The sequence below is a fragment of the Homo sapiens genome, chromosome 11 (genome assembly GCF_000001405.40).
Source record: "Homo sapiens chromosome 11, GRCh38.p14 Primary Assembly".
Classification (NCBI taxonomy): Eukaryota; Metazoa; Chordata; class Mammalia; order Primates; family Hominidae; genus Homo; species Homo sapiens.
The window spans coordinates 60,684,314-60,699,134 of record NC_000011.10 but is presented as its reverse complement, the minus strand read 5'-3'; the positions used below and the strand labels follow the sequence as shown (position 1 = coordinate 60,699,134).

The following is a 14,821-nucleotide window of genomic DNA, read 5'->3' as shown; positions in this document are numbered from 1 at the left end:
ACAGCTGCATGTAATAGTCCATGACAGATTTACCGTTGAAGAAGGTGAACAATGAAGAACAAATGAAGTTGATGGGATGGCTAGAACATTGTAAGATGGTCAAAACAAAAAGAACACCGTTGAGGGTATGGAAAGGGAAAAGTCTTGGGGAAGAGAAGGTAGAGATATGTTGGGAATGGCTCACAGTGAAGGACATTGAATGTAAAAAAGATGAAAAGGTAGCTGGAGTCAGACTTCACTTTTTTGTTGTTGTTTGTATTTTTTAGAGACAGGGTCTTGCTCAGGCTGGAGTGCAGTGATAGTTCACTGCAGCCTCAAACTCCCAGGCTCAAGCAATCCACCTGCCTCAGCCTCCTGAATAGCTGGGACTGCAGGCACGCACTACTGTGGCCAGCTAAATCTTAAAATTTTTTGTAGAGACAGGATTTCACTATGCTGCCCAGGCTGGTCTTCAATTCCTGGCCTCAAATGATTCTCCTGCCTCGGCCTCCCAAAGTGCAGGGATTACAGGAGTGAGCCACCATGCCTAACCCAAATTTTACTTCTTTACCCATTTTTTCTATCAGATTCCTGGACCTTTGTCCCTTAATTTTTAAAGAGTTCTTTACATACTAGGGATTTTAGGTCTTTGTCTTTGGTATATTCTCCAATTTTGACAGTGTCTTTTGATTTTGTTTAGGGTGGTTTTCTGTCAAGAAAAATTTTAAAAATTTTTGTAGTAAAATTTATCAGTCTTATCTTTTATTACCTATGCATTTGAGTCATTGTTTGAAAGCCTTTCCTAACACTAAGATTAAACAGGAATTTAGCTGTGTTTTCTTCTAATACTTGTATTGTTTTACTTTTTACATTTTGATTCTTAATACATGTAAAATGTATTTTTTTGTGAATGCTATGAGATGTGGGTCTAATTTTAAATTTTTCCAAAAGTCTACCTGGCTGCCCCAGGGCAATTTATTAAATAGCTCATCTTCTCTTCAGCGGCATTTGAAATGCCACCTTTGTCACAGCCTAAATTTCTATATGCATTTGGTTCTAATTCTGGTCTTTCTTTTACTTTCTATTGGTCTATTTGTCTATTCATGTGTTATTTCAACAATGTTTTAATTATAGAGGCTTTCCAGTGTACTTCAATGTCCTGTAGGGTTAGTCTCCTGTGTAATTTTTCCTTTTTCATTATATTTTATGGCTATTCTTGCATGTTTGTTTTTCCAAATGAACTTTAGCATTTGTCTAACTCTATAAAGTAACTCAATAGCTTTTTGTAAAGACGAATAACATGAACCAAACTGTATTGACAGAAATAATAAGAGGCATCTGAATGAGGACATATAGGTGGCTAAGCCCTAGTGCACGTGGGACATTCAGGACCAGGTTTAACCAGATATTGTAGAAGATGAAATTTGTCACCTTTTAATTGAGTTTATAGAAGTGGTGCCAACTTTCTAGAAGGGACCGGAGACATACAAGGGAGATTATTATTGTCCAAACCTACTTCAGCAAATGCTGTTGATGCAGCATCTATATCCCCTTGATCCACTCTGGAGGTCTTGAGACAGGGTCTTGCTCAAGCTAGAGTACAGTAACGTGATCATAGCTCACTGCAGCCTCAAACTCTGAGCAAACTCTGCAGCAAATGCTGTATTGATGCTGCATCTTCAGCCAGTCTCCACATCTATGGACAACTCCTTTCTTTTCCGAGGATGCATAGGTATGGGGCAGGCCATAGGTGCTGGGAAGTTAATCCCACAAGAATTTTTCCTATCCAGTGTAACGTGCATATGCTGGATAACTACCCTAGCTTCTCTGTCCCCTAAGAGAAATAATTTTGAAGTGTGTTTCAACTGTCTCTTAGAGAGTCTCCAACAGGATTAAGCACCAGTTCCCTATAACAGAACTCATTCATTAATACATAGTCTATTGACTTTCTTCCTTTTTTTGGTATCACTTTTCCATTTTTTTTCACAGTGAGTCTTGGGTCACTTCCCAAGTAAGCACCCAAATCCTTATGTCAGAGCCTTTTGTATTGCTGTGGTATCAATTGTAATGTCTTCATTTTCAATTCTGATTGTGTTTATTTGAATCTTCTCTCCCTTTTATTAGTCTAGCTAGTGGTTTATCAATTTTATCTTTTCAAGGAACAAACTTTTCATTTCGTTGATCCTTTTTATTCTTTTTTCATTTCTGATTTATTTAGTCCTGCCTTGATCTTTTTTTTTTTCTTCTGCCAATTTCGGGTTTGATTTCTCCTTGTTTCTCTACATCCTTGAGATACAATATTAAGCTGTTAATTTGTCATCTTTCTGCTTTTTTTGATGTAGGCATTTAATGCTATAAATTTCCCTCATAGAACTACTTTCACTGTATCCCACAGGTTTTGGTAAGATGTGTTTTTCTTTTCATTTCATAAAAATTTTAAATTTCTGTCTTAATTTCTTCATTGACCCAGTGATTGTTCAGGAGCATGCTGTTTAGTTTCCATGTATTTGTATACTTTCTGAAATTTCTCTTGGTACTGATTTTTACCTTTATTGCATTGTCATCTGAGAAGATAGTTGACATGATTTCAATTTTTAAAAATTTCTTAAGGCTAGTTTTGTGGCCTAACATGTAGTCTATCTTGGGGAATGGTCCATGTGCTGATAAAAATAATGCATATTCTGGGCCAGGCGCAGTGACTCATGCCTGTAAACCCAGCATTTTGGGAGGCCGAGGAGGGTGGATCATCTGAGGTCAGTAGTTCAAGACCAGCCTGACCAACATGCTGAAACCCCGTCTCTACTAAAAACACAAAAAAGTAGCCGGGCATGGTGGTGCATGCCTGTAGTCCCAGCTACTTGGGAGGCTGAGGCAGGAGAATCACTTGAACCCAGGAAGTGGAGGTTGCAGTGAGCCAAGATTGCACCACTGCACAAATACCTGTTAAATCCATTTGGTCTAAAGTCCAATTTAAGGCCAATGTTTCTTTGTTAATTTTTTCTCCCTATGATCTGTCTAGTGCTGCAAGTGGGGTGGTTAAGTCCCCCACTATTATTGTGTTGCTGCCTTTCTCGTCTTTCTCTTTCTTTAGGTGTAGTAATATTTGTGTGTGTTTTTTTAGGTTTGGGGGTACACATGAAGGTTTATTACATAGGTAAACTTATGTCATGGGGGTTCATTGTACAGATTATTTCATCACCCAGGTATTAAGCCCAGTACCCAATAGTTATGTTACTGCTCCTCTTCCTCGTCCTACCCTTCACCCTCAAATAGATCTCAGTGTCTATTGTTCCCTTTGTGTTGATGAGTTTTCATCATTTAGCTCCCACTTATAAGTGAGAACATGTGGTATTTGGTTTTCTGCAGTAATATTTGTTTTGTAAATTTGGGTGCTCCAATGTTGGGTGCATATATATTTAGGATTGTTACATCTTCTTGATCACTTTATCACTATGTAATGCCCTTCTGTGTTCTTTCTTACTGTTTTTGATTTAAAGTCTATTTTATCTGACATAAGGATAACTACTCCTGCTTGCTTTTATTTCTGTTTGCTTGGAATATCTTTTCCACCTCTTTACTTTCAACCTATATGTGTTTTTGTGGGTAAGGTGAGTTTCTTGTAGGCAGCATATACTTGGATTATTTTTTAAACCCATTCTGCCAATCTGCATCTTTTCAGTGGAGCATTTAGTCCATTTACTTTCGGGGTTAATATTGATATGTGAAGCTTTGTTCCTGTCATATTGTTGATCGATTTCAAGTTATAGATTCTTTGTTTCTGTCTTTTTGTCTTTGTGGTTTAGTAAAATTTTGTCATGTTGCCATTTGATTCCTTTCTTTTCCTCCTTTGTGTGATTGTTTTATACAAACTGTAAGTTTTATATTTCCATGGGTTTTAATGATGATGGATATTGACTTTTCATTCACATGTTTAAGACCTCTTTGAGCATTTCCTGTAGGGTGACCATTTGTAGGGGTGACAAATTCCCTCAGTGTTTGCTTGCCTGGAAAGGACTTTATTTATGAAACCTATTTTGGCAGGACACAAAATTCTTGGCTGATAGTTCTTTTGTTCAAGCACTTTGAAAATACCATTCCCTTCTCTTCTGGCCTGTAAGATTTCTGCTGAAAAGTCTGCTGTTAGTCTAATGGAGTTTTCTTTATAGGTGACTAGAAACTTTTGTATTGTTACTGACAAAATTCTTTCTTTCTCATTGACTTTAGACATTCTGAATATAATATTGCCATGGTGAGATCCTTTTTGCAATGTGTTTGCCTGGGTATCACTGGACTTCCTGTATCTTTATGTCTAACTCTCTTGATATTCTTGGGACATTTTTATTGATTATTTCCTCAAATATGTTTTCTAAGCTTTTGTTTTGTTTTGTTTCACTCTGTCACCCAGGTTGGAGTGCAGTGGCACAATCATGGCCCATTGCAACCTCAAACTCCTGGGCTCAAGCAATCCTCCCACCTTAGCCCTTCAAGTAGCTGGGATGACACACATGAGCCACCATGCCTGGCTAATTTAAAAAAAAAAATTTGTAAAGGCAGATTCTTGTTTTCTTGCTTAGGCTAGTCTTGAACTCTTGATCTCAAGCAGTCCTCCCACTTTGGCCTCCCAAATTGCTGGGAGTACAGGCATGAGCCGCTACACCTGGCCATTTCTAAACTTTTGAATCTCTCTACCCCCTTGGGTGTACTGATAATTTGTAAGTTTGGTTGTTTTATATCATCTCAGATATCTTAAAGGCTTTGTTTATCCTTTGTAATTCTTTTTTCCTTATTTTTGTCTGGCTGAATTACTTCAAAAGACATGTCTTCAGGTACTGAGATTTTATTTTCTTTCATTTTCTGAATTGATTTACTGATTTTCTTGTATTAGCTTACATTTTTTTTTGTATTTTTAGTAGAAAGACAGGGTTTCAGTATGGTGCCCAGGCTGGTCTTGAACTCCTGGCCTCATGTGATCTACCTGCCATGGCCTCCCAAAGTGCTGGGATTACAGTGGGATTACAGGCACGAGACACTATGCCTGGCCTGATTTTCAGATATCCTTTGCATCTCATTAAGCTTCTTTAAAAATCAATATTTTAAATTATTTATCTGGCATTTCAAGGGATTCATTTTGTTGGAATCTGTTGCTGGACAATTATGGTCCTTTGATGATATCCCATTTCCCTGCTTTTTCATGCTTCCTGTGTTTTTCCATTGATGTCTTTGCATCTAGTGTAGCAGTTGCTTGTTCCAATTTTTTGAAATTGCTTTGGTAGGGGAATTTTTTTTTTTTTTCTGAGGTTGTGTACGTGTTGTTGATTAAGATACTTCGACTTTGATTTTGCATGCTGGCAGTAGTGTGATCTTTGTTTGACTTCTTTCGCAGTACACAAAGTCAGTGGTCTCTGGGATTGCCTTGGTGACTTATGGTACAGTTAAGGTTGTGGTGACTTTTAGCTGGGGACTTAGATGCCAACTGATGTGGTTTTGGTCTGTGTCCCTGCCCAAATCTCATGTTGAATTGCAATCCCCAGTGTTGGAGGTGGGGCCTGGTGACAGGCGATTGAATCACAGGAGCAGATTTTCCCCTTGGTACTGTGTCACAATAGTGAGTGAGTTTGTGTGATATCTGGTTGTTTAAAAGTGTGGGGCACCCCCCCGCCTCGGTTCTGCTCCTACCATGTAAGATGCCTGTTCCCATGTTGCCTTCTGTCATGAGGAAAAGCTCCCTGAGGCCTCTGCAGAAGCATATGCTGCCATGCTTCCTGTACAGTCCGTGGAACCACCAGGCAATTAAACCTATTTTCTTTTAAATTACCCAGTCTCAGGTCTTTCCTTTCTTTCTTTCTTTCTCTTTCTTTTTCTTTCTTTCTTTCTTTCTTTCTTTCTTTCTTTCTTTCTTTCTTTCTTTCTTTCTTTCTTTCTTTCTTTCTTTCTTTTTCTTTCCTTCTTTCTTTCTTTCTTTCTTTCTTTCTTTCTTTCTTTCTTTCTTTCTTTCCTTTCTCTTTCTTTCTTTCTTTTTTTCTTTCTCTTCCTTCCTTCCTTCCTTTCTCTCTTTCTCTCTTTCTTTCTCTCTCTCCCTCTCTCTCTTTCTTTCTTCTTTTTTTTTTTTAGACAGGGTCTCACTCTGTCACCCAGGCTGGAGTGCAGTGTTGCGATCTCAGCTCACTGCAGCCTCCGCCTTCCAGGTTCAAGTGATTCTCATGCCTCAGCCTCCCAAGTAGCTGGAATTACAGGTGTGCACCACCACACCCATCTAATTTTTGTATTTTAGTAGAGACAGGGTTTCACCATGTTGTCCAGGCTGGTCTCAAACTCCTGGCCTCAAGTGATCTGTCTGCCTCACCCTCCCAAATACTGTGCCTGGCCATCAGGTATTTCTCTATAGCAGTGTGAGAACAAACTAATACACCAACTGAGCCAGTCTTTGGGCCCGAGTAGTGGCAGCATTGGGGTGAGCGAGCCTGTTTTAAGGCTCCAGAGTGGCTTATACTGGCCCTTGTGTTAGCGGTCCTAGAGGGCTCATTCTTGGGCCTCCAAGCTGCTTGCTTAGAAGTGGGCAGTGGGAGCAGTGGGCCTGGTGTGTGGGTGGAGTCTCAGGCCCCTGGGAAGCTGGCGTGGTGTGGCAGTAGCAGTGGTGGAGGAAACCACAGTGACCCATGCCATCTGTGTTGGTGTTGCTGGAAGCTGCAATGGATTGGGTGGGTTACTCCCTGGTCCCACAGCTGCCTTTAGCAGGGCAGTGGGTATTGTTCTAAGTGTGCTTTGGAGACCTTGGTCTTCCTTGTCTCTCTCTCAGTTGGGTGGCGACTGCTGTTGTGTCACCTTGACCTTGGCCCAAGGGTGGGGCACAGCTTAGTGTTAAACTCTCAAAATAGTGCCAGCTGTGGGCTTGTGACCAGAGAGGGTCAGGCCCTTCTCAGGCGAACAGTATGGGCAAGACTCTGTGAGAAGTGTGGTTCGCTTGAGTGTTGGTCTTGCAGCAGCCTATGGCAGGGCATTGAATATTGTCCTAGGTATGCGTCGGAAAGCCTGGCTGCCCTATCCCTCCTTGACTGGGCAGTAGTTGCAGCCATGTCAACTTGAATTTGGCCTGACCGTGGGGCATAGCCCAGCATTAAACTCTCAAAATGGCACCTTAGGCCTGTGGCCAGGGAGGGTGGGGTCCCTCCTAGGCAAGAAGCATATGTAAGAAGCTGTGGGGAGTGTCATCCCCTCACGTCTCAGTCTCACAGCAGCCTGTTGCAGATCAGTGGGTATTGTCCTATATTTGCATGAGATAGCCTGGTTTCCCCGTCACTCCTTGGCTAGGCAGCAGCTGTAATTGTGTTAGTTTGACCTCAGCCCAAGGGCAGGGCACAGTCCAGCACTCAACTCTTAAGATGGTGCCTTGGGGTTTAGACCAGAGACGGTGGGGCATCTCCCAGGCAAGCAGTGTGAGCAAGAAGCTGTGGGGAACGTGGCTCATTTATGTCTCAGTCTCAACTGCAGCCCATAGCAGGGCGGCAGGTACCCTCTCATTGGTGCATGGGAGCACCTGTTCTTCCCTCTCCCTCCTTGGAGCTGCTCAGTGGCAGCAGCTGTGTCTGTAGATACCCGGTATCCAGGCTCTCAAAATGGCTCCCAGCTGAGGCTGCTCTGGGTGCTGAAGCTTGTGGGATTCTGTGTGGGTTCCCTTTCTGGGGCAACATCTCTGTGCAATCTTTAGGAAGCTCCATATGCCAGGCCTGATGCTGTCGTGAATCCACTACAGGGTTTCTCCCATAGCCAAGATCATAAAAGCCCATTTTGGAGTTCTAGGGGTTTCTCTCTTCCTGTTTCCCTAGGTCCAGGAGCCTCTCTTGGCTCTTGGTCAGTTCCTGGCTGGGCAAGCTTCCTCACACCATGTCCTTTCTTACTGCTGGTGTTTCTCGTCTGTTCTCTGCTGTATCCAAGTGTTCTTTCCTAGATGATCTGTTCAAAATGTGAGGATCTGGGTACTATTCTCTTTCCTCTCCTTGGAGGAGGCACACCAGCAATTACATTTTTGCAGATCATCTTGCATCCTGATTTTAGGCTTTGTTAGGGTGCGTCTTTTTCTCCCTTTTTCTTATTCCAAGGTGTAGCCTGTACTCCTAGTTCATCGTTCTTAATTAGAAGCTGTAGCATCTCTGGAGTATCCTTTGAATGTCAGGGATGATCAAGAAGGTTTCTCTCTTTTGGCTGCGCCTGCACTTCACCACTCACCACACTGTGTAGGATCAAGAATCCATGCTCAGCTCTCAGTCTCCCTGGAATTTACTTCCTTTTTTTTTTCTTTTTTTTTTTTTTTTTAAGACAGGGTCTTGCTCTGTCACCCAGGCTGGTCTGCAGTGGCAGGATCTCGGCTCACTGCAACCTCCGTCTCCTGTTTCAAGTGATTCTTCTGCCTCAGCCACCTGAGTAGCTGGGACTACAGGCGCCCACCACCATGCCTGAGTAATTTTTGTGTTTTTAGTAGAGATGGGGTTTTACTATGTTGGCCAGGCTGGTCTCAAACCCCTGACCTCAAGTGATCTGCCCTCTTCGGCCTCCCTTACAAAGTGCTGTGATTACAGGCGTGAGCCACCACACCCGGCCAGGAATTTACTTTCTGTTAGGCCTTCTGAAGTTGTATTAAAGGATATGGCCAGGATTCAGCTAAGGACCTAAGGAAAATTTCTTTGTAGACTTCTGAGGTATCTGTTCAGTAGCTTCCCTATCTCTGTAGGTATGCCCATCGAATTCCAGCTACTTTAGCAGTTTCAAACTTAATCTCTGCTTCCATCCAGCAAGACCACTGTAACTATTTGGGTTCTACGTTCCTACCACATGGCCTGGAAAATGTTCCCAAGGGGAAGTCTGGGTGAATGTGGGGGCTCACCTTGTATGTTTCCCATTTCCAAAGAATGGAAACCTTCTGTTGGTTTTTGTACAGTGCCTAAAAATTGATGTTTTATGCATTTTCCCCAGTTTTTGTAGCTAGTTTCAGTATATCTGATATCAGTTATTTCACATTGGATGGAATTAAAAGTCTGTACTAAGACTTTTAGTCAAAATCTAGATGGTTTAAAAATTTCTCAGTAAAATAAATGTAGAGTTAATATTTTTCATATCCTGAGATACAAACTACAAATAATGAGATCTACATAATTTAAGAGATCAATATAATGCTTAACTGTAATATAAAGGGCAAGTAAATTTATTATAAAATATCCATTTTATTATATAAAATGTCAGACCTGAATATACTGAAATACATAATAATTAGATATGCCTGTACATTTTTATAATAATACTTTGTATGTAAGAGAAAAAGATCAGAAGTCATATGTACAAAAAATATATAAAAAAGAAAGAGCAGAGGTATTAATGGGAATTACTATTATAAATAATAAAGAATAGAATGAGATAATAAAAGAACAGACTTATTCATCTAATATAGGAGGAAGGAGGATATAATGTTAATCTGTGTAGGCAGAACAGGCTGAGGCCAATTACAGAGTGCTGAAGTAGAAAAAGTGAGAAATAGTCTCATAATTAACCAGGGCAAATACAGTATTAATTTCTTTTGTTATTACATGGAATGGGGAATTAGAAAACTATCCCACACAAAGTTTGAACTATGAGAGATCCCACTATCTGTAGAGATATATGTTCAGTCTCTAGTACTTAACATGATCTTGGGTGCTGTTATCTTTAAAAGTGTATCAAGGATGGATTGGAAGAAGATAGATGTAACAGAGGCTCTGGAGAAATTGTATGGTGGACTCCTGGAGATAACATCAGAATAAGACTGAAAAACAACAGACAACCCAAACATATACATTCAATATGTAATGTTCACAGCAGAGGCTTTAAAAATTATGTTACAAAATATGCACATTTAAAATATGCATATAAATTATACAATTATGATATAAATTAAAATATCCACATTTAAAATATGCCTATAAAATGACAAATTTTATACATATAAAAAAACCTTTATTTTAAAAAAATTAAATGAAATTAAATGAGCTCCCATGTCAGAATATAGTTCTCTTTCTGTGGATTATATTCCTAACCTAGGCAGGTATGTGGAAGCTTCTACTGGCCACAGTTAAGAGCCACTCAATTCTGAGAAGCTCTCTCCTAGGCATTAGTGCTTCTTTGGTAATTTGGCTACACCTTCGTACTGACCCTCCATTGGCAGCATTTTGCTGAAGTGCTTTCATATGCCTTGCTCCCCATGCTACAGCAATTCTCAGGTAACCTGAGGCTTCCAGTCTCATTTCCCTCTAGTGTTCCAGGGTTGGGGCCTGCAGGCAGTGGTGATAGGTATCTTTCTTTTTTACCTCTTGCAAGCTCCGACTTTTAGGAGTGGTCCATGGTCCCTCTCTGCAGGCTCCTATACCATGCCTTCTTTTTAACATTGCTGGCTTTTGCTCTGGCTTTTCTAGATCAGGTCAGCAAGTCCCACCTGGGTCCCAAAGACTATCGTTGGGGAGTGGGATGCTTCCTGTAAACAGCCACACACTTTACAGCTGCTTCTTCTCTCCCCGAGCTTCAGAGAGTAGAGCCGTTCGAATGCTGCACTCCTACTGTGGAATGCTGAGGTGAGAGGATAACCTGCTTTCATAAACACCTAACATGTTCCATGGGGTGGGGGAAATCTAGTGCCCCTTATAGTGAAAAGCCACCTGCATTAGTTTCCCCGAGCTAATGTAACAAGGTGTTAAAACGAGTGGTTAAAACGAGTGGTTAAAACAAGGTGTTAAAATGAGAAATTTATTATCTCACTGTTCTGGAGGTTGGAAGTCCAAAATCAAGGTGCTCTCAGGGTCATGCTCCCTCAGAAACCTGGAGGAGAAGGATCCTTCCTGACGTCCTCCTGATTTGCTAGAAATCTTTGGCACTTCTTGGCTTGTCGATGCATCACCCAATCCTTCATCTTTACATGGTTTTCTCTTTGTGTGTCTTCACATCGTTTTCCCTCTGTGCATATCTGTGTCTGTGTCTAATTTCCCCTTTTCTTTGTTTTGAGATGAGAGTCTCACTCTGTCGCCCAGGCTGGAGTGCAATGGTGCGATCTAGTCTCATCACAATCTCTGCCTCCTGGGTTCAAGTGATTCTCCTGCCTCAGCCTCCCGAGTAGGTGGGATTACAGGTGCGCACCACTATGCCCGGCTAATTTTTGTATTTTTAGTAGAGACAGGATTTCACCATGTTGGTCAGGCTAGTCTTGAACTCCTGACCTCAAGCAATCCACCTGCCTCGGCCTCCCAAAGTGTTGGGATTACAGGCGTGAGCCACTGCGCCTGGCCCAATTTTCTCTTTTTATAAGGAAACCAGTGATATTGGATTAGACTCTCTCCTAATGACTTCATTTTAATTCGATTGGTTATTTAAAGACCCTACTTCTAAATTAGGTCATATTCTGAGTACTGGGGATTAGGACCTCAATATATTTTTTTGAGGGGGACACAACTCAATACATAACATTTTCATCAAGATTTTAAGTAGTTTTGTGGCCTCATTTCAGTACATCTGCTTTCAGAGGGAGGTTCTAGTCACCAATTCTTGGAAAACAAGAAAAATTCAATCTGGCTTCATATATCATTATGCTACTGATACAATGATAAGAGCTGATAAATAATAAATAATAAAAACTTATTGAGGGACAACTATGAGTTAGGAGCTGTTGTAAGCTCTTTTAATGATATATTGTCATTTAATCCTCCCATCTACTCTGTGGGTTAGAGACTATTATTTCTGTTTTACAGATGAGAAAACAAAAGTACAGAGAGAGCAAGAGTATTGACATTATCACATGAACATTATGCCAACTTCCAAAATCAGAGTATTTTCTCCTCTTGGATGAAGGAGTTCCTTAATTCAAGCCAATCTCCTCCAACCTAAGATAAAGTGGGCATTCAACACTACTCTCCTACATCCCTTCAACCACAGGGATTGCAGGGGCTATATTTATCCGTGTTAACCCATACTGGCTTTTAAAAAGGGAAGAGTCAATTTGTGATCAAATCGCATGCTTTATTGAAGAACTAAGAAAAAAGAGCAATGGAAAGGATTTCATTAGAATGCGTTTTCCATGTGGCTGCTTGAAAAAATTAGAGTTCTTCGCTAATTCACAATTAATCTTTTGTTCTTGACTGGAGTCACACTGGTTCTTTGCAAATTATGAAGAAATAGAAGTTGTGCGTGGTGTGATTTCCAAGGATTCCGACAGTGAGATTTCCGAGGGCAAAGTGCCTGAGATGAATTGAGATAGCAAATTGATCATTATTACAGTCTAAAATAAAAGCCTTATCCTGAGACATTGAGTTAAAGTAAGACAAAACAACAACAAAAAATGAACAAATATGTAAACCTGGAATGTGGTTAGTTAAAAGTGTACTGAGAAGACAGTACCTACTCAGTTCTGGGGGGCCTAGCCAAAGGCATATCAGACCTATAACTCATCAGATACCAGAGGTTTCAATGAACTACAACAAACATATTAAACTAAATTATTCTTCTTAAAATGATTTTAACTGGACTCTGGTGAGTCCTGATTCCTCTTGGGTACTCTACTTCATATTCTAGATCAGAAGAGAACAACCATTGGAGCGGAGAGCCATCTGGCTCATACTACAGGATTTTTGGGAGCCACTGTAGAAGCCATTCTAATGGGAACAGTGTCATTCTTTTCTTGAGTAAACCTCTGTTTTTCTATTTTGTTTTTAAGTTCACAGCAGAATATTATATCGTATAAGCGCATACACACAAAACTGAAAATACATGATTTAAAAAATAGTTTCCTAATCAAGTAAAATACAGGTTAGTATTTAAAGCTATGTTCAATAGTTATTGAGCAGTATGGGAAATAGAAATAAGGGATAAGCAGTTTATTAAACTAATTTTATTTAATCTAAGATTTAACATTGAGTGTGAAACGAACATACAAGACATTAATAAGCCTCCTAAATATCTTTCAAATTTATCATCTTCTCTTTATTCTTCATTGTTTAGGTTTAGGTACTCATTGTTTGGCTTGCCTGTTGGGGCAACCAGCTAATTATATTCATCTCTAGCTTTGTTCTTCTTTTTCCTATCTCTATCTCTATTTTCCTCCCAGAATGACTGAGGACACTGGTTGACTCCCTCAAAATTATCCTGCTACAAATGATTTGTCTGAATCCTTCATGGTAATCCTATTCCCTTTGCTATTACTCAACTCAGAGATTAGCAGATCTGAGGCAATTAAGCCAAGTGAAGTAAAGAGAGGTCTCCTTGTAGCTTCTGAGAAAGGCCAGTTTCTCCTGCTGGATGTGAACCGGAAATTATGCTGCCTAAGCCGTCTTATGATCATGAGATGATTCCTGATTGATTTAGCAGTTTGAGTTGAGGGTAGGGGGGAAGGGCTGTAACTTGCTGCAGGAAATATTCTAATGAAAATAATTATATAAATGAAAAGTTTGATCAAGAAACACTGTTGTTAAAAACCCTGCAAGAGCACCCTGGTATCTATAGACTAAATTCAAAATTCTTTAATAAGGTATAGTTAAGCCCCATTAAGATCTGGTCTCAAGGTACTTCTACAGCCTCATTTCCTGCCATGATCCCCCACATATTATCCTACAGGAATTCCACAAACAAGCCATTCCTTTGGCTCCTGACAGAGTTTTAGGTTGACACCAAACTACAGATTTTTGTTTTTGGAATTAATTATCTATTTTGAAAGGATTTAGGGAAGATAGATAAGTAAGGAGATAAAATCATCAGCCATTACAATCTATTTCCTTTCATCACTTTGTTTAGTGAGCATGTTTTTGCCCTTTATTATTTTAATGAAATATATTGCATTGATTGATTTTGGTATGTTAAACTAACTTTGAATTCCTGTAATAAATCTCACTTGACCCTGTTGTATAATCATATTTATATGTTGCTAGATTTGGTTTGCTAGTTTTTTTTTTGAAGATTTTTGTATCCGTAGTCATCAGACATGTTGGTCTGTAGTTTTCTTCCCTTGGTCAATTTATCTATGATTTTTCTTTTGTTAAATATGCTTTTGGTGTGATAGCTAATATACCATTAACTAATTCAGGCCAGAAATAATTATGCCTGTATTTTCTTCTAAGAGTTTTGTAATGTTAGCTCTTAAATCTAGGTCTATGCATTTTTAGTTAATTTGTGTATATTCTGTGAGGTAGTGGTCTAACTTCATTCTTTTGTATGCAGATATCCAGTTGTCCTGGCACCATTTGTTGAAGAGACCACTATTTCTCCATTGAATTGTCTTGTCATGCTAGTCAAAAATCAAGTAGCTACGTATGAACTTATTTTTGGGTTTTTGATCCTATTCTACTGATTTTTATGTCTATCATTATGGCAGTATCACTGAGAGAAGAAAGAAAGAGACCCCCCCATATTGTTCTATACTGTTTTATACTCAGTACCTGTTTTAAGAAGAAACAAGGAAGCGAAACCAAAGGCAGGCAGCCTGGCGCCAGGCACCAGACCCAAAACCAGACCCAAAACCAGGCCTGGGCCTGCCTGACCTTAGCCTGATGGTTAAAATTCAACCCATGACTTAGCAACTGATGTTATCCATAGATTCCAGACATTGTGTGGAAGGACATACAACAAATTTTCCATTCTGTTCTGTTTCACTCTGATTACTGGTGCATGTAGCTGCAGCCCCTGTCCGGTACCACCCTAGACTGCTCAATCAATCACAACCCTTTCATGCGAAACCTTTAGTATTGTGAGCGCTAAAAAAAAAAAAGGGACAGAAATTGTGCACTCAACAAGCTTGGATTTTAAGACGCTAGTCTGCCGATGCTTCCAGCTGATTAAAGCTACT

The 14,821-nt window shown here is 40.0% G+C and overlaps 2 long non-coding RNA genes across 4 annotated transcripts in view; one reads left to right on the top strand and one right to left on the bottom strand.

Annotated features, from left to right (window-relative positions):
• Positions 1 to 14,821, top strand: part of LOC105369321 (uncharacterized) — a 95,635-nt gene that overhangs the window by 4,795 nt on the left and 76,019 nt on the right. Inside the window, exon 1 of one of the 3 annotated variants that reach the window (XR_950146.2) lies at positions 19 to 90. The exons of 1 other annotated variant lie outside the window; for it this stretch is intronic. This is a non-coding gene — a long non-coding RNA (uncharacterized LOC105369321). Of the gene's footprint in view, positions 1 to 18; positions 126 to 14,821 lie in introns of those variants that run through there. One more of the 3 variants, XR_950147.3, reaches the window with a different exon arrangement.
• The window catches only part of LINC00301 (long intergenic non-protein coding RNA 301), a 71,399-nt gene continuing 68,563 nt past the window's right edge, over positions 11,986 to 14,821 (bottom strand). The window contains exon 7 of the long non-coding RNA NR_026946.1: positions 11,986 to 12,225. This is a non-coding gene — a long non-coding RNA (long intergenic non-protein coding RNA 301). The remainder of the gene's footprint in view (positions 12,226 to 14,821) is intronic.